Below are 17,415 nucleotides of genomic sequence, written 5' to 3' on the forward strand. Positions count from 1 at the left end.
AAGATATAATGAGCTGTGATTGCACCATGGCACTCCAGCTTGGACAACAAAGTGGGACTCCATCTCAAAAACAGTTCTTCGTGGTTGTATGCAATTAGTTATGCTTTTTGCCAGTGGTGCCTCCTCCTTTGGCGGGGACTTGGGGGCCGGGAGTAGGGACAGGAATAATGAACAGAGGCCGACGTGGATCTGTGGAGTGTCTCCTATGGACCAGGTCCCAAGTCCGCATGGGTCTGTACACTTCATGGAACTAGCAGAAAAGCATTAGACAGTCGGTGCCCTTTTCCTTCATTTTATGGGTTAGAAAAAATGAACCTCAGGGGAGTCCAGGAACTTGCCCAAAGACTTAGATGTGGCAGGTGGGGTCGCAGGGTATACCCCCAAGTTCCTCTCTTCCCATTGCAGACATGGCCCCAGAGTAGCTACCAAGTCTGGGGCCTGTCTCAGCTGAGATCCTCCTAAGGCACGCGGGATCCCATGCACTCTCCCTGTCTGAAAACGTGGGAATTGATGCCTCTCCCACGGTAACAGGTCCTCTGCCATAAAAGAACAGAACCTTCCCGCGTTCCTCTATCCATGGAGTGTCTGTGGATCTACGCGAGTGCTTAGATAGAAATTAACCCTGCAGCCGGAGATTAGCGGCCCTAACTTAATTTTCGTCCCACAGATAAGGATGGTCAGCCATGAGTTACATGGTTATTCTCCTAAGTTGCTTTGTGTGTGCACCACACAGAGACGCTGACATCACTCGTTGATTTCATCTGGCCTTGTGCCCTGAGCCTTGATTGAAACCTGGCTAAGTCATGCTGGCCTTAGGAACCACATCTGGACTGTTGGGAGGTGCATGGATTCAAATCTCCGCCGCCGTGGTTGTCCAGTGCCGTGCGCCTCACCGGTCCATGCAGGGGCAGCTGAACCCAGAGGCGCTTCTGTGACAGAGGGCCCGCAGGGGGACTGCTGTCTCATAAAAGCTAAACTCTTCATCCCACACTCTGTGTTTCAGAACAAGAAGAAAATTTTGAGTTTATCATTGTGTCCCTCACTGGCCAAACATGGCACTTTGAAGCCACGACGTATGAGGAGCGGGACGCCTGGGTCCAAGCCATCGAGAGCCAGATCCTGGCCAGCCTGCAGTCGTGCGAGAGCAGCAAGAACAAGGTGAGGCCCCTGGCTGCCCAAAACCAAGGCTGGGGCTGCTCAGGGGGAGTGCGGGCCCCAAGTAATGCCCCAGGGAGGAGAAAATAGAGGACCAGTGTGAATGACAGGACCTAGCTATTCTTTATGAGCAGAAAGCTCAATAACTAAAACGATCAGAAGCACTTTGTGTCTATACCATCATACATGAGTATTCCAGCCTGACCGTGCTTCCCTGGCAGGAGAGCCAAGGTTAAATCTTCAGTCTGTCAGCCAATCCCAGAGGGAATCTTTTGGACTCTTGTGGCTTCTGGGTCCACATTTATTTTTGTTTTGGACAGAATACACTCAGAAAAAAAGAGAGACGGACTTAAAAGATGCACTGTTCAAGTAAATGCCCAGAATTCAAATCGACATCAAGTTGGAAAACCGTCTCTTGTTAGGGACATAAATGAAAAGTAGATGGGTCTGTATGAGCGTGCAGGGAGTTTGGGAAGATAAAGTTTCTATTATCTAAACTGATAAAGCCTGGTATGTGTTTTATTCAATAATTAGAGGTGGTGGTGCAGCTCTTTTAGAATTTGTCCAGCAGGTTTTCTGGTTCTCACCAGAAAACGCCACCCCCAAATGTTTCTATATTAAAAAAATAATGAGAGGCAATTTGTTTTTTGTAGTTACTTAGCTAGAAAAGGAAAAATATTTTAACCTGTATTTTTTTTTCCTTTGGAGAGAGTCTATCTCTGTCACCTAGGCTGGAGTACAGTGGCACAATCTTAGCTCACTGCAACCTCCAAGCTCAAGCAATCCTCCCACCTCAGCCTCCTGAGTTGCTGGGACTACAGGCCTGGCTTGCTTGCTTATTTATTTGTATATTTATTTATGTAATATATATTATTTGTGGAGGTGGGGTTTCATCACGTTGCCCAGGCTGGTCTCAAACTCTTGGGCTCAAGCGATCCACCTGCCTCAGACACCCAGAGTCCTGGGATTACAGGCATGAGCTACCACGCCTGGCTTAACCTGTGTTCTCTAGGCTACTGCCCAGTGATGTTCCTTCTACAAAAGTCCTTTTTCCCATCAAGGATTGCTTCAGTTTCATTATTTTAATGTTTGTTTGTCTTTAACCTCTTTGCTGGGACGTCTTAGACTTTTGGAGAGCATTTTGATATTTCAGACTATGATCAACTAGAAACTAAGAGAAAGGATGTTACCCACCGACCTGCAGTTTCATTTGTAACCATTTAAAGAAATTTCTGCCTATGATTTATGTGCAGCTTTGTCACTAAAAAGAGAGTCTGTCTTTCAGAAAGATGAAGTGTCTTATTTTATTACCCTCTTTAACCAGGGTAAACCAGACCACAGTCATTATTATTATAATGTAATTTGCTTCCCTTTTTAAAAGATGTTTTATACTCAAGGTGGGGAGAACCACTGCCTTTCATTCCATACACCCTGGCTTTACTGGGTCACGTCCACATGCATCCATGATGTGCCTCCTGAAACGAGCACAGGGTGCTTTGGGGCCACCTCAATGGGAAGCAACAGCACACAGCATCCTCCAAGCGTGGGCAGCTCATTCTGAGAAGGAAGGCAGGGAGGCAGGCTGTGTTACCGAACAGAGAGGCACAGGTTCCTGCCTTCATGGAGAAATCACAGTCTTTCACGGCAGACTCTGAGCCCCTGCCACCTCGACCTAATTCAGGAAGATCTGGGATGGTGGCAGCCTTTCCCATTCCACACCTTGCCAGGCTCCTCCTGACTCGTGTCTCAGCTCATGCACACACCAGCCTTAGAATGCTGCCCTCGGCCCTCACTAGGCGCCTGTTCTCCAGGGAATTGCTCCCTTGGGAGGAGGACGCGTTGAGCAACCAAAGGTGGCCGACTCAGAGCTGGTCATCGTGGGCATTGGTTGAACAGGTGTGAGGGCATAAAACATGGAAATACTGTCCACAAGGAGTAGCGGGAGGCAAAAATACAGGCCCAGTTGACCACCAGCTTTATAGTATTTTACCTGCCAGTGGATAATTGAGAGCTGATACAGGTATAGGCATAGCTAGACAGACAGACAAACCAACCAACCACAGAAATGATACAGGTACACAGAGAGACAGAGGCACATCCCTTTGTATGTGTGTGTGTGTGTGTGTGTGTGTGTGTGATCACACACTTGCATTCCAGATGCCAGTGTAAACTGTTTAAACATATTTTGAATACTTGGGTATCTAACCAAAGGGAATTAAAATTCAATAACGCATGATGCTAATTAGACAGTAGTGATTAATACATTATAATTTATTATGTAGCAAGTAATATATTATTTCACATCAATTTGATGAGATGTTTCAATTTATGAAGAATTCTTACGCAAAAATCAAGCTTATTGTAACTGTCCTCTGAAATTGATCAATTTTTGCTTTAACCATAATATTAAATGCATACTTAATAAATAAGCCTCAAAAACACTACATATCAGCCAGACACGATGGTTCACGCCTGTACTCCTAGTGCTTTGGGAGGCTAAGGTGGGAGGATCACTTGAGGCAAGGAGTTCGAGACCAGCCTGGCCAACATAGGGAGACCATTGTCTCTACAAAAAAATTTTTAAATAGCCAGGTGCATGGTTCACACCTGTAGTTCCAGCTACTCAGGAGGCTGAGGTGGGAGGACCACTTGAGCCCAGGAGATGGAGGCTGCAGTGAGCTATGATTGCACTACTCCAGCCTGGGCAACAGAGCAAGACCCTCTCTCTAGGTGGGGAAAAAGGTACATATCCAGTACATATCCTTTCACTTAGAACTTCTACTTCCAGGAATCTATTCTTAGTAAATAATCATGAGTGTGTACCAAGACTTAGCAATCATATGTTCTTACAGCATCGTTTATGATAGAGAAAAATTGGAAGCAACTTAAATGTCCATCAAAGAGAACTTGATAAGTAGGTCTTCACTAAGTGGAATGCTATGCAGCCATTTAAAATGATGATGTCAGAGAGTATGTGACAGCAGTGAGCAATGAACAAGTTTCGTTAGGCTGGAAAGGGCAGGTTTCTATGCAGCAATATGTATTACGCTGGCTTTTTAAAGTACATATGTGTATGTAGATGTGCTTAAACAACAGGCTAAAAGAACAGACATCAAAATGTTAATAATGCTTAACTATGGATGGCCGTATGATTGTTTATTAATTTTATGTTCTTTTTCCCCTCTCTGTATTTTCTAAACTTGCTTCAATGAGCATGTATGTTTTTAAATCCTTTTTAAAGAAGACCATAGAGCCAGGTGTGGTGGCTCACACCTGTAATCTCAACACTATAGGAGGCTAAGGCAGGAGGATCACTTGAGCCCACGAGTTCAAGGCTGCAGTGAGCTATGATCACACCACTGCACCCCAGCCTCAGCCACAGAGCGAGACACTGGCTCAAAAAATAATAATAATAAATAAATAAATAAAAATAAAGCAAGCCATCAAGTGTAAGGTTAAGAATCAGCACTCCCAGCTATACTCGTGTTTCTCCCTGCCCCCACCCTGGCGAGTGGCTTTGTCACTGTGGCAACCGAGGGTCTTCAGATGACATGTGCATCTCCCAGGGTGACGTGTGGTATGAATGGGGTTTTCTGACAAGGAACCATGAGATATGTCTTACATTGCTGATGAAGCCCTAACCCTGGGCTTATAAACGGATTATTTCTTTCTCATTCTTCTTACCAAGTAGACATGTGGCTACTGCCCAGAAGGTTACCCATTTACCTTCTCCAGGTTACCATGGTCCATGCGTATTCACAGATGATCCAGAACTCTCCTCTTTGCTCATTTCTGGCAGAGTCCGTCTCAGCTGATGAGTTAAAATGTGACATTTCCTCCCTCCCCCCGCCCCATGCATGATGATTTCTTCTTCAGTTATGCTCTTTCCCAAAGACATCAAAACAAGAGTGATTGTTTAGAAATTACCCTCGTCCTACATTTGCTCCCAATCTGTTTGATCTTTCCCTGATGTTATCAGTGATGTGCGTTTCTCCCGGGGTGCTTACGCCTTGTATTTGTGTCTTCCTCCGTGCCCAGTCCCGGCTGACGAGCCAGAGCGAGGCCATGGCCCTGCAGTCGATCCGGAACATGCGCGGGAACTCCCACTGTGTGGACTGCGAGACCCAGAGTAAGTGTGTGCGGTGGTAGCAGGGGCTGGCGCTGTGTAGCTGGAGACCACATGGTCCCACTAGGCCCGGGTTGCAGGGGACTCACATCTGTCCTGTTTGGCAGATAAGAGTTAACTGCTTTTAGGAAATTGAGATATTTTGTTTGGATTTTACCTTAACAGAGTGCCTTCCACACAAGCCTCACCCCTGGCTGCAGGGTGCGTTTCTGTGAGTCTTTCCTTGCCTTAGGCATCCGATGAGCAGCAGTCATACCTGAGGTGCAAAGGATTCAACCCCACACCCACAGCCTGTGCCAAATCTAGGAAGCCCAGGAATTCAAGACGAGCCTGGGCAACACAGGGAGAACCCGTCTCTACAGAAAATTAAAAATTAACTAGGCGTGGCAGCTGGCTTACTTTTTGCTTAATCAGTGATCACTTGTTGATTTTTTTTTTTTTTCATAAAAATAGAATATAATTGGTTCATTCCTGCCTAGAGATTCTTGGGTATTGTTTTTTTAAATTCACAATCATATGTTCTGGGTTTTGCCATCAAATGATGTCTTGTTTTTTTTTGGTCTTAAATCCATTACCCACTAAAGCCTCTGATTGAACTGATAGAAGTTGTAATTACTGCTTTGTGCCATCGAGTACCCCAGTTTTATTTCATGATTTCCGTTGTCTAATCCATACTATTACTTTCCCTTTGAAAAAGTCATTTTGTTGTTCATAATCTTGAGAGTAGGGACTTATTTTCATGGTTGCAGTCCCAGCCCAGAGACAGTATTGGAGACATTCAGTAAATTTCTTCCCTTCAGATTTTTTTTGTTAAGTAGTGTTTTGAAGAGAAGGAAGTTCAGTTCAAACAAGGTAAGAGGTGCTGGTACCAGGCTGGGTGCTGCCCAGGAGTCAAACGTGCATGGCGTGGTGGGTCCTGCCATCCTGAAGCCTGAAATGCACTGGACAAGGCACCAACCTGCTGACCATGGAGCTAAGCGCTGGGGAGAGCCATCGGGGGCATGCGGCGGTCTTGCCACCCATGCAGGAGCTGTCGTGTCAGCAGGGCTCTGGAGATGGGCAGGGTTTGTACAGGGAAGGGGCCGAAGGAATCACTGTGAGCAAAGGGAGTGGCTTGAGGAGAGCTTCTCTGGGTGGTTGTAGGATTAGAGATGCTTTTTGGGCTGGAAAACCAGTAGAAGCTAGTTGGAGTGTGAGTGCCAAGTGAAACTTTTTCCAGCTTTGTTCTTCATTTGTAAGCAGAGAGACATCATTGGAGTTTTAGAGCAGGAAGGAGATGGACCCTGAGCTCCACTTGGGGAGATGGATCTGGCCAGACCATTTTGAACATACTGGAATAGAGGCAAAGCAGGGAGGAGGCCAGCCAGGGTCGGCTTGGCCGGGAAGGGAGACAGGAGCCCAGGACTGCTCCAGACAAAAGGGAAAGGAAGCGCCCCCTCCAAGAGTCCACTCAGCAGCATAGCAGGCAGGGGAGAGATCAAAAGTCTGTCTGCGGCCTCTCTGGAAGCCTGTCCTGCGGGTGAGGGAAGGGGTTCTTCTCCAGGTATCTTGAGGTTCTTCTTTAAAGTACCTCCTTATGTTTGAATGTTTAAGTTTTACTTTCAAATGTGTGGTGAAATGAAGTTCGAAGAGAGAAGCAGTTATTTGAAGTGTGTTTCTATCAAAAAGTTTTAAAAGTAAGAGCTTTTTTAAAAGCACGAATCTGAGAAATATTAGAACATCCATTAAGGAAAATGCCTGCAGTTGTTTCCACCGTGCGTCTGAAGGTCGCTTTAAAAGGAAAGCCATCCGTGGCTTGCGGGGACCATGATACCTGGCAAATCGGAGGTCGCAGGTCCTGTCTGAGATGAGCTTGTGCATGTGAGTGCGGATGGGGGGTGGGAAAGGGAGGCCAGTGCAGGGGAGGTGTGGGCCAGTTTGTTCTGAGCAAGACCACCTGAGCAGATGGACAGGGACAAAGGGAAAAGGCAGAGTTTGACAATTCAGGAGAAAGAGGCGATACCAAGCACGCATTTGCTAAATGTGTGGTCTGTGTCAGCCCGGTGCCAAACCCTCCCATGCGCTGTCTTTTCATTCTGCAACCCTAGTAGTTGGTGCCCCTGTGGGCCCCACTTAAAGGGGAGGAATTGAGGAGCCTGAAGGGTCAAGTCATTTGTCTGAGGTCACAGAAATAGCAAGTCCCAAAGCAGGATTCAAACCCATCTGTTGTCCAGCCTGCTGTATTTTCTCAAGAATGGAAAGGCTCAGAAGATGTAGCACATTGGCAAGGATTTGTTAAGTAAAAATACCCAATTTTGGTTAAAGTACCGGGATAGGTACAGTGCCCACACTGATGATGAACTGTAAACACCTCCATGGGGCCTTTCGACAATGTATATAAAAAGCTTTTGAAGAGTGGATGCCCTTGACTCCAGCTGTATACTCCAGGAACTAAACCAATGGGATTGAGTAAGGCGGGTGCAGAGATCTGTCTTTCCAGATGTTCATCACAGTGCTTTACATGGCAAAAAATCAGAAGCATCCCAAATGTCTAACAATTGAAGAGCAGTTCATGGTGATGTCTTGTCTTTGCTACCTTTAAAAATCATGGAAAAAGACTTAATTGAGCCTGGGCACGGTGGCTCACGCCTGTAATCCCAGCACTTTGGGAGGCCAAGGTGGGCGGATCACCTGAGGTCAGGAGTTCGAGACCAGCCTGGCCAGCGTGGTGAAACCCCATCTCTACTAAAAATACAAAAATTAGCCGGGCATGGTGGCATATGCCTGTAATCCCGGCTACTTGGGAGGCTGAGGCAGGACTTGAACTCGAGAGGCGGAGTTTGCAGTGAGCCAAGATCACGTCATTGCACTCCATCCTGGGCGACAGAGTGAGATTTCGTCTCAAGGGAAAAAAAAAAAGTGGGGGGGGTGCTTAATTGAGATAAAGAAACTTCATAATGTGTTGTAAAATGAAAAAGGGGTATGACAATGAGTCTAGATGAACCTAACGAGTATTTACAGGTATTTAGAGGGGAAAGATCTGTAAGGCTGCACTCTGGAAGGTTAGCACCAGTTGTGTCTGAGTGGTAGGGTCTTTTGAGGCTTGGGGATTTTCATGCAGCGTGGAATTTGGAATTGTGGTAACAGCTCCCTGACCCCCAGTTCTTGCAGAGAATGCTCTAGACCGCCAGGAGCCCCCTCTGTCTGCTCACTGGGCACATCCCAGAGCACTGTTTCCAGAGTGGACGCTGAGCCTCTGGAGCTTTGGGGGTGCCTGTCTATAAAGGGATTCTGAGAGCCAGTGAATTTGGGAAACTCTTAACAACGTCCGACTCCCAGGAAGTTGCAGCCTTCGGACACCTGTGCTTCCGGGGAGTACTGCTCTGAAGCTACCTGTTCAGCATGGCCCAACCCAGCATGTCCCAGGCCCATCGGACAGTGGGGCCTTTGTTTAGGGTGCCTGTTGCCTGCCTTCTGCCAGGAACATGCCAAGGAAAGTCCACACCTGAGGGCCCCTGAGAATCCTAGGGCTTGGGACCCTCAGTGGCTCTCACCAGCAGGTCTGACCTTCATGGACAGGCCCTGAGAGGCAGCTCACCGTTTCTGCTGCTTTCTCTCTGCCCATCCATGTCGCCCATGAAGCCCTGGTTGGAGCTGACCGTGCGCTGGTCCCTCCCACCCTGCTGCGTGGACCTCACAGGTGCCCCTCTCTCCTGGGCCTTTCTCATGTCTAGAATCCTGCCTTATTTCCCTTTGTGAACCCCAGGCCTGCACACAAGAGGGGACTGGCACCCACCACTACCACCAGATAGCTCACCACAACCTACAGTAGGAGCACATCCAGGCTCTCATCTTTAGCTTGGCCCACAAATAGAACCTCCGGTCCCGCAACGTCGGGTCTCCTTCCCATTGTCGCCTCTTAGTCCTTCCCTGACCTCCAGGTTTGAAATCACACACACACACACACACACATCCCTACTCCCTGCTGTTCTGCCCTGGGGGCTTCCTGGCTCTGGTGTATCCTAGAATTTTCTTAGCTCTTTTCTGGTTTGGGCGGGGGCAGGGGCGGGTTGAGATGGGGTCTCGCCCTATAGCCCAGGATGGAGTGCAGCAGAAAGGGTAGGCTGCCTCTCGGGGCCTGTCCATGATTGCAGCAGTGCAATCATGGCTCACTGCAGCCTTGAACTCTTAGGCTCCAGCAATCCTCCCACCTCAGACTCCTGAGCAGCTGTGACTACATGTGCGTGCCACCACGCCGACCTGATTTTTTAAATTTTTTGTAGAGAGGTAGTCTCACTATGCTGCCCAGGCTGGTCTTAAACTCCTGGCCTTCGGCGATCCTCCCCCATTGACCTCCCAAAGTGCTGGGATTATAGGCAGGAGCCACTGTGCTGGGCCTAGTTTTTTTTATTTTTTCCTGCTTGGTCTGTCCTCATAGAATCTACGTCCTGCATTTCTGTGGGCAGGGATTTTTCTCCGTTTTGTTCACTGCTGTATCCCCAGAAGCCAGTGTGTTAATATTGGTTGAATACGTGAAGGAACAGATGTAATTACAGCCAACACCTAACACTGTACTTCCCGTGGGGCAGTCACTGCTCTAAGTGCCTCGTAGCTTTTAATCCTTCTGACAGCCCCTTGAGGATGGGAATTATTAGCCTCATTTCTCTGGAGGGGAGCTGAGGCCCGGAGAGCAAGAGGCTTGCAGAGGACAAAGGTGGAAAGGCAGTGCTAGCAGGTGGCACGCACACAGGTGTGAGGGCCTGGAGAGCAGGCAGGGCCGCCCTGGGGCTGTGGGACCAGCGGGGCCTGAAGCCAGGTGGAGGGGCAGGAGACAGTGCAGAGGTCTGAGTCCGTGCCAGGAGGCTGGGATCAGCCACAGGCCGAGGTTCTCCACCCAGGCCGAGACACAGCGAAGTGTCCCAGTTGGGCCTTAAGGCATCTTTCAAGGAAATTGCAGTGGTGATGCTTAGATACCAACCCTTGCCGATGAGTCATTCTCTGCTGGAGCGGAGGCAAGGTTCTCCCCTCAGTCAGCCCCAGCCTTACCTGTCTCTAAGCAGAGGGTGGTGAGCATGGGGCCCTGGAACACTGTGCCCCCGCCCCCTGCAACATTTTGGGTTTCAGAGAATTCGGAGTCCGGCACAGGAATGTGTCCCACGCATGAATGTCGTCCTTCAGATCTGGACCTGACAGCCTGGGAGCTGCTGGGGGGAGGTAGGAGGGGGTGCACCACGGTCTGAACGAGGGGCCAGCATGAGTGGCTTCTGTATCTGCAACCCACAGCGGCATGGAGGGCGGTGGGGTGGGCATAGGAACCAAATCGGAGGTTCTGGTAAGAGCTTAGGCAAGTGGCTATGGGGATCCAGATGTGAGTGGAGACAGTGTGTCAGAGCACTCCCCACAGCACTCGGTGATGGGCTGGATGCTGGGACATAAGGGAGCAGGAGAGGTGCTAGGTTTTGAGCGGTGGTGTGACATGATCAGAGATGCCGTGTTCAGTGGGGCCCTGGCTGCTGTGTGAAGAGGTCTGCAGGGAAGTGACGGGCAAGGCCGCAGACAGGAGCCCCTTGCACCCCAGTTGCGATGCTGGTGAGGACGCCCATGGGAGCATAAGTTCGAGAAGAAAGCGTTGGACTTATGAGAGGTTGAGAACCTTGTGATTGGCTGTGGGAATGATGGAAGAATTAAGGTGGACCCCTGGGGTCCCAGCTTGAATAGCTGGGACAGGAGGGACCTGGCAGAAGAATGCATTTGCAGAGTGGATGTTGACTAGGAGATTCTCCCAACTGAAATGTACGTGGTCGTTGCGTATATAATAATTCAGGAGCCAGGAAGAGGTGTTAGTGCCTGAGTGGTGATTGAAGTGTGGGTTGGGTTGGCCTGAATAAGACTACACAGTCAGAAGAGATGACCCCACAGGAGCCCTGAGGTCAGGGAGGAAGAGCTGGGAAAGAGATCACAACGGAGCAACCAGGAAAGTGGGGAAAAAATCCAGAGAGGTCGTTGACCAAAAAGGTATCAGAAGTTAGCACTGGCCCAGCACAGTGGCTCATGCCTGTAATCCCAACACTTTGGGAGGCCCAGGCAGGAGGATTGCTTGAGCCCAGTGGTTGAAGCCTGGGCAACATAGCAAGACCCCATCTGTGCAAAAAATGTAAGAAGTTAGCCAGGCATGGTGATGTGCACCTGTAGTCCCAGCTACTCGAGAAGCTGAGGCAGGAGGATCACTGGAGCCTAGGAGTTTGAGGCTGCAGTGAGCAGTGATTGTGCCACCACAAGAGACCCTATCTCAAAAAAAGAGTAGTACTCAGTGTTGTGAGGAGGGGTGGGGCAGTGGCCAGCCCACAAGAGGCCGAGTGAAACGTTGGCCACAGGGGTCTTTTGGGTTTCGCCCTGGAACAGGCTAGTGACTTTGGTTGTGCTGCGTCCATGGTCAGGAGGTAGAGGCCTGGTTGTCAGTGATCCGGAGGTGCAGAAGCAGAGGGAGCCAGTGGGGAGGTGGGCTGTGCAGACACAAAGGGAGAGGCACAGGCGAGGAGGGGTCCACGCCAGCTGTGTGCCATGCCTCCACCCTCCACAGCCCCAGGCCAGGGCCTCCTCTGTGTCCCCGCTGCCCTCTTCCTTCTCGTGCCACCTGTGCATTGGTTCTGACTGCGCTTTTCAGCGTTGAGTCTCTGCATTTCTCTGTTCTCTTCTGCTTGGGTTTTTTTCATTTGATGCATAGGTTTCCCCTTCCCAGTCAGAACCTCTCTGAGGTCACAGACCTCTCTTCTCACATTTCTTTTTTTTTTTTTTTTTTTTTTGAGGAGTCTCGTTCTGTCACCCAGGCTGGAGTGCAGTGGCAGGATCTCCACTCACTGCAACCTCTGCCTCCTGAGTTCAAGCGATTCTCCAGCCTCAGCCTCTCAAGGAGCTGGGATTACAGGTGCCCTCCACCATACCCAACTAATTTTTTTGTAATGTTAGTAGAGACAGGGTTTCACCATGTTGGTCATGCTGGTCTCGAACTCCTGACCTCAGGTGATCCTCCCATCTCGGCCTCCCAAAGTGCTGGGATTACAGGCATGAGCCACCACCGCACCCAGCCTCTTCTCACATTTCTTGTGGTATCTATCACTGCCTTCTTGCATATGTAGTAGATGTTAAATAAAGGACTGGCTTTCTGATTTCTGATCAACTGGCGTAAGGCTATTGCTGGTTACTTGCCATTTATAAAACAAAGGATGTCTCCCCAGTGAGTCAAATGTGACCTAAGCTACTTGGTCTTTTGTTGACTCTTCAGGTGTGTCCAGAGTAAGCATTGCCTATTCCCAGGTGAGTAAGCCGTATTTACTTAACAGTGGTGAAAGCCAGTGACTATCAAGGTCAACCCTATCTCTGCACATCAGCTGTAGATTCTAGCGTGAAGTCAACCCGGGCCTGAGTTCTTGGTCTTCTGATGATGCCAGCCAGTTTCACGCAGTGAGTGCTCCAGTTCTGGGGTCCCAGTGCTGCTGTCTGAATCCATTTCTTGTCCTGCACAATCCTTGCACTAGTCCTTGGTCTAGTTTCACAGCCCAAAGCCTGTCACCATTCATTCTGCAAGTCAGCGTTGGTTGCGCTGCGTGATAACCTCACCAAAGGGCCCTGCCCACCAACTTGCCTGCAGTGCAGTTGCTTCAGTAGCTATAGTTAAATAAGATCACTGAAAACGATATTTCTTCACTGTAGTGTACCTCTCTCTCATCTTTGAAATTTGCAAGCATGCCCGTTGTGTACCTACTGGAAACTTTGATGTGCCAGTGGCTGCAGAGGTAGCAATGAAGGAATGACCAGAGTCACGGTGTCACCCAGCTGCCCCTCAGCACCACTTCTCCTTCCCTCTCAGCAGCAGCTGTCCACAGTGGATGCCGAGTCACACGTGCTTTTTCCCACACAGGTCAGCCCTCTCAAGGTGAATGCTGCTGTGACATATGGGAAAGTGCATCTTTTCTATCCAAACCAACGCTGTCAATTATTTATTGTGCGGGAAATTCCAAGGCTTTGGCTTCAGCCAAATGTGTTCTGAAGCTACTACCAACGGCCAGTCATTTGGGACACCTGAAACAGGACTGAGCACTGGCTAGGGAGCATTTTTTCTCGCCATGGATGTGGTTCTGTCGTTGTGAAGTTTGACTGATTCGTCGCCTTGTGTTTCTAAGAACGGTTGGAATGATGCATGATGGTCTGATTGCGTTTAGCGTTCTGTTCCTCTTCCCGTAGATCCCAACTGGGCCAGTTTGAACTTGGGAGCCCTCATGTGCATCGAATGCTCAGGGATCCACCGGAATCTTGGCACCCACCTTTCCCGAGTCCGATCTCTGGACCTGGATGACTGGCCAGTCGAGCTCATCAAGGTGATGTCATCCATCGGGAACGAGCTAGCCAACAGCGTCTGGGAAGAGAGCAGCCAGGGGCGGACGAAACCATCGGTAGACTCCACAAGGTAGGAACTTTGGAAGATGCCTGGCTCCCGACACGTTTGCCAACAGTTAGGCAACTGGAAGTGATCATAATGACAGCCACGGTTGGGAAGGCCCTGATAACCTGTAGGAATTCGGGAATTCCGATTCATCCGGCATAGGAATGTCTGTGTTTAAAGTTGGTCTTGAGCAGACGTGGATAATTCACACTCCTTAATTTTTTATGTTTGTTTTTAGGCCTGGGGATTTCTCTCCCCCCTCTTAGAAATGTATTAAGCTTCTAACCTTATGAATATATTACTTTAATTAATACATTTCTAATAGGCATAAGCTGTGCCGTTAACACTAATTATGAATTTTTGATCCTTTAATTTTGTTATTCTTATAGCTTGGATAAGCATCTGCTCTGTCGATCCCCCCCCCGCACCATCACACAAAAGTTATTTTTATGGTAACAAAATCTATTTTATTTTCTAAAATATATCTCAACACATTTAGTCAACCAAGTTCAGCATAATGTATGATGTAACTCCTCATTAATGTTAATTGTTATCCAGTGTAAAAAACGCATTTATTTTGAGGCCATTTAGTTTCTCATTTTTCATTTACAGCTATTATAAACTGTTTTTGAGTACACATGCATATTTAATGTTCCTAAGGGGTGATAAAATGGAGTGTCTTCTGAGAAGGCGTATGGCATGGAGGCAGAATAGAGCATTTCATCTCCGTACTTGTCTAAAGCAAGTGGCTTCCAGGGTTGCTCATTTTCACCCACAATAGGAAGTGGGAGGTTGAGGTTTGCTGTCCGTGTTTGCCTCTCAGGTGTCTGAAGAGATGAAGGGAGAGGAGAGGTCTCCCATCACTGGTACTTTTTAGGTTCCTCTGATTTGTTTTGCTGCTGATCAGATAAAATGAAAGTTCAAGTGGTAATCTGTGGTTACGCCACAGAAACCGGTTTCTACTGCAGAGCAGTAAGAACGTGAGAAGCGTTCGTGGACTTCAGTTCATTAACACTGAAAAATGAATTTGTGGTGCCACCTTTGGCTCACTGGAGAGAATGAAGCTGGTGTGTTACTCATCTGGCTCTCCGTATGAGGGATTCTTTGGTAGTGGGGAGGACAGGAAAGGTGCAAAGAACATATTTGTTTAAAATTGCATGGTTTTGATACGCGACCTCTTTATGAGTTATGCTCTATAGTGTAGACAGGGGTAAGTTTCTTACAAACCGAAGAAATTATGCACTTTAAAAAGTATTTATCTTGATTTGTTTAATGCTACCATAGAAATCAGCTGGGTCATCAACTGTGAACAAGCTTAAAAGATGAATTCATGTTTTAATATCTATTTTTTCACAGATAATGATAACATTGGAGGAAACTTGGGTCTGAAAATGAAAAATGATTGGAAATTAGATTGAGCTTAATATATGAATGCAGAAAACATTGAAATAAGCTGGAAAAATCTATGCATCTTACTGTTTATATGTAAAAGAAGCACATTCACTATTTTTAATATCATGAATTATTAGAAAAGTTTGTTTATCCATCCATTAAAATTTAGAAACCATTTGGAATTATTCGAAGCAAAGATACGGGTTCATGTTTTACCTGATAAATGTTTTATAATTTCATCTTCATTCATAAATGAAGATTGTGTGTGCACAGGTATTTTGTAGTTCTAATTTGCATCCTTGAATTAAGTTCTTGAGTGCAGAGCCCTGTCTTTTTTCCAGTGTTACATACATCACATCATTATATTTTAGAGACCTATTGCAGAGACTTGCTTACTCCCAAGTGCAGTGGTTGCAGTTAAGTCCCATCTTTTCTTTAGTCACACTGGCTTTCCTAAAGAGCAGGCCGAGTTGTAATTCCTCTCCAAGACTGTGGTGTTGGTGATGTGGTTCTGTGCTGTTGCTGAAGGTAACTGTGGAATTTCTAAGTTCCCTTTGCACCTAAGAAGATAAACACATACGAGAACTGAATATTTCTTTGTGCCTGTAGTAATTTTCCTGGGGAGTTTTGTTTTCAGTGAAAATCAGCAAATAATCATTGCACACTTTCTCGTAGAAAAGCAACGGTGAGTGATGATTGCAGTTCCCTGGTGATTGGTGAAGGCTCTCAGGGCTGCCTGAGGATGCCAGGGCTCGGGAGGGTGCATTCTGGGAGGTGTCACTGGAGAAATGGCATCTGAGCTGGACTCTGAAATAGGGGGTGATTCCCAGGGCCAGGGCCAGGGGACCAGGTGGGAAGGCGGGCTGGAGGGTGGGAGTGGCCTCGGTGGATGCAGGCTCGGCCGGGCCTGTGGGGAGGTGTGCCTGTCGGCGAGTACAGCACCGTGGACGGGAGCCTCCCATGAATGAGGAGGAGCAGGAATGGGGGAGGCCCAAAGAGCAGAAGCAGGAAGGGCCTCTGAGCCAGGGCTGGCACCTTAAAAGCGACCCTGGGGGCAGGGGAGAGGGGAAGGGTTTGTCTATTCATGGGTTCTGTCTGTCCCACCTGTTCCCAAGAGGACTAAAGGCAGCCAGCAAGGTCTGTGTCCCTTCCCGCTGGAAGGCCAGGGTCCTGGTGGAGCATGCGGGAAGCCTTAACTACACTGTCCAAAGCAAAACACACCCAGCCCGATAACAGAGTAGAAATTCAGACTCCCACCACCTTCACCACCTCCTGCACGTCCCCTCAATAGAAAATGGAAAAGTGAAAGTCGGGGCTGGAATCTCCGCAAGCCGGTCTGTCCATGACGTGAGAAGATTCTGCCTTTCGAAGCCACCCCCGCTCCCTCTGCCCCACTCCGCCCCTCCTGGTCTCTCTGCAGAACCTACGATTGTTAGTAGAAACAGCTGGAAGGTTCTTTTAATGTGGCCCTGAGGTAATACCAAAAAGAAATATTTTAATAAATTTTTCTCTCTATCAAAGGAAAAGCCAAGTGCAATATATTTGGTGTAATTCTTTGAAAAAGGGCCCAGCTGTTTTCCCAAGGAGCTCTGGTCCATTCCATCTTGTGCAGAAGATTCATTCTGACAGTGGAATATAATTAGAAATGCGTCGTTCAGCCTGCCCCCACCCCCAAACACACAAACACACACAGATTCAAGACCATGGGGAAGTAGAACACAGCAGATCTTCCTCCAAAGAGACCGCCGCACACTGGAGTCACCTATTCGTGCGGCCAGTTAGGACAGCAGGCGCCCTGGACAGCCGGCCTCTGCTGTGTCCCTGCACCCCTGATTAGGGCAGCTTCGGACGGCTTATAATTGGTTCCAGTTAATCTCTGCCGCCCTGAGAACTGCCGTTCAAACTTGAGCAGCATCATGATCAATGGAAGCTGACGGCGGCTGAAGCAGTATTGACTTCCCATTCCTAAACAGGGGAATCATTAGTCAAGAAAAGCATCTTTTAATTACTCCCAGGAAGAAAAAAAAAATCTTTTTGGATGGATTCTGCAACAACTGCCATTTTTTCCCAGTGCATTCGATATTAAATTTATTGTCGCAGGAGGGGAGAGGATGCCCTTTGTCCCCCTCTGTAATGGGGGTTTAATTTGGAAAAAGAAGCACGTTAGAAAACAGAGCAATGCTACAACAATTAACTACATCTGGGGTAGCATCAGAATTCCCCTCTCTAATTGCTATTGATACCATTTAAGCACACACTTAAAATATCGATTTTAAGTGGGGATGTTGAAGTGGTGGTGAAGTAGTAACAGTGGACAGAACTA

At 48.0% G+C, this 17,415-nt stretch overlaps 1 protein-coding gene and 1 pseudogene across 4 annotated transcripts in view, besides 5 other annotated features; both read left to right on the top strand.

Moving 5' to 3' along the window:
* Positions 1 to 17,415, top strand: part of AGAP1 (ArfGAP with GTPase domain, ankyrin repeat and PH domain 1) — a 637,751-nt gene that overhangs the window by 541,515 nt on the left and 78,821 nt on the right. For all 4 annotated transcript variants that reach the window (NM_001037131.3, NM_014914.5, NM_001436125.1 and 1 more), the window contains 3 exons: positions 1,004 to 1,158; positions 5,194 to 5,284; positions 13,502 to 13,724. In NM_001037131.3, coding sequence (NP_001032208.1) covers positions 1,004 to 1,158; positions 5,194 to 5,284; positions 13,502 to 13,724 — 469 coding nt within the window. The remainder of the gene's footprint in view (positions 1 to 1,003; positions 1,159 to 5,193; positions 5,285 to 13,501; positions 13,725 to 17,415) is intronic.
* On the top strand, positions 1,693 to 1,754 carry RNU7-127P (RNA, U7 small nuclear 127 pseudogene; annotated as a pseudogene).
* Positions 5,814 to 6,726: an enhancer, noted in NCBI's record as "H3K4me1 hESC enhancer chr2:236950015-236950927 (GRCh37/hg19 assembly coordinates)". NCBI's record gives its function as "activates a minimal SCP1, AML or CMV promoter by ChIP-STARR-seq in primed H9 embryonic stem cells {active_cell/tissue: H9 hESC(primed)}" and the evidence as "EXISTENCE:reporter gene assay evidence [ECO:0000049][PMID:30033119]".
* Positions 6,727 to 7,638: an enhancer, noted in NCBI's record as "H3K4me1 hESC enhancer chr2:236950928-236951839 (GRCh37/hg19 assembly coordinates)". NCBI's record gives its function as "activates a minimal SCP1, AML or CMV promoter by ChIP-STARR-seq in primed H9 embryonic stem cells {active_cell/tissue: H9 hESC(primed)}" and the evidence as "EXISTENCE:reporter gene assay evidence [ECO:0000049][PMID:30033119]".
* Positions 9,644 to 10,423: an enhancer, noted in NCBI's record as "H3K27ac-H3K4me1 hESC enhancer chr2:236953845-236954624 (GRCh37/hg19 assembly coordinates)". NCBI's record gives its function as "activates a minimal SCP1, AML or CMV promoter by ChIP-STARR-seq in naive and primed H9 embryonic stem cells {active_cell/tissue: H9 hESC(naive and primed)}" and the evidence as "EXISTENCE:reporter gene assay evidence [ECO:0000049][PMID:30033119]".
* Positions 10,424 to 11,203: an enhancer, noted in NCBI's record as "H3K27ac-H3K4me1 hESC enhancer chr2:236954625-236955404 (GRCh37/hg19 assembly coordinates)". NCBI's record gives its function as "activates a minimal SCP1, AML or CMV promoter by ChIP-STARR-seq in primed H9 embryonic stem cells {active_cell/tissue: H9 hESC(primed)}" and the evidence as "EXISTENCE:reporter gene assay evidence [ECO:0000049][PMID:30033119]".
* Positions 11,258 to 11,761: an enhancer, noted in NCBI's record as "H3K4me1 hESC enhancer chr2:236955459-236955962 (GRCh37/hg19 assembly coordinates)". NCBI's record gives its function as "activates a minimal SCP1, AML or CMV promoter by ChIP-STARR-seq in primed H9 embryonic stem cells {active_cell/tissue: H9 hESC(primed)}" and the evidence as "EXISTENCE:reporter gene assay evidence [ECO:0000049][PMID:30033119]".

This window comes from Homo sapiens, chromosome 2, assembly GCF_000001405.40.
Source record: "Homo sapiens chromosome 2, GRCh38.p14 Primary Assembly".
Lineage (NCBI taxonomy): Eukaryota > Metazoa > Chordata > Mammalia > Primates > Hominidae > Homo > Homo sapiens.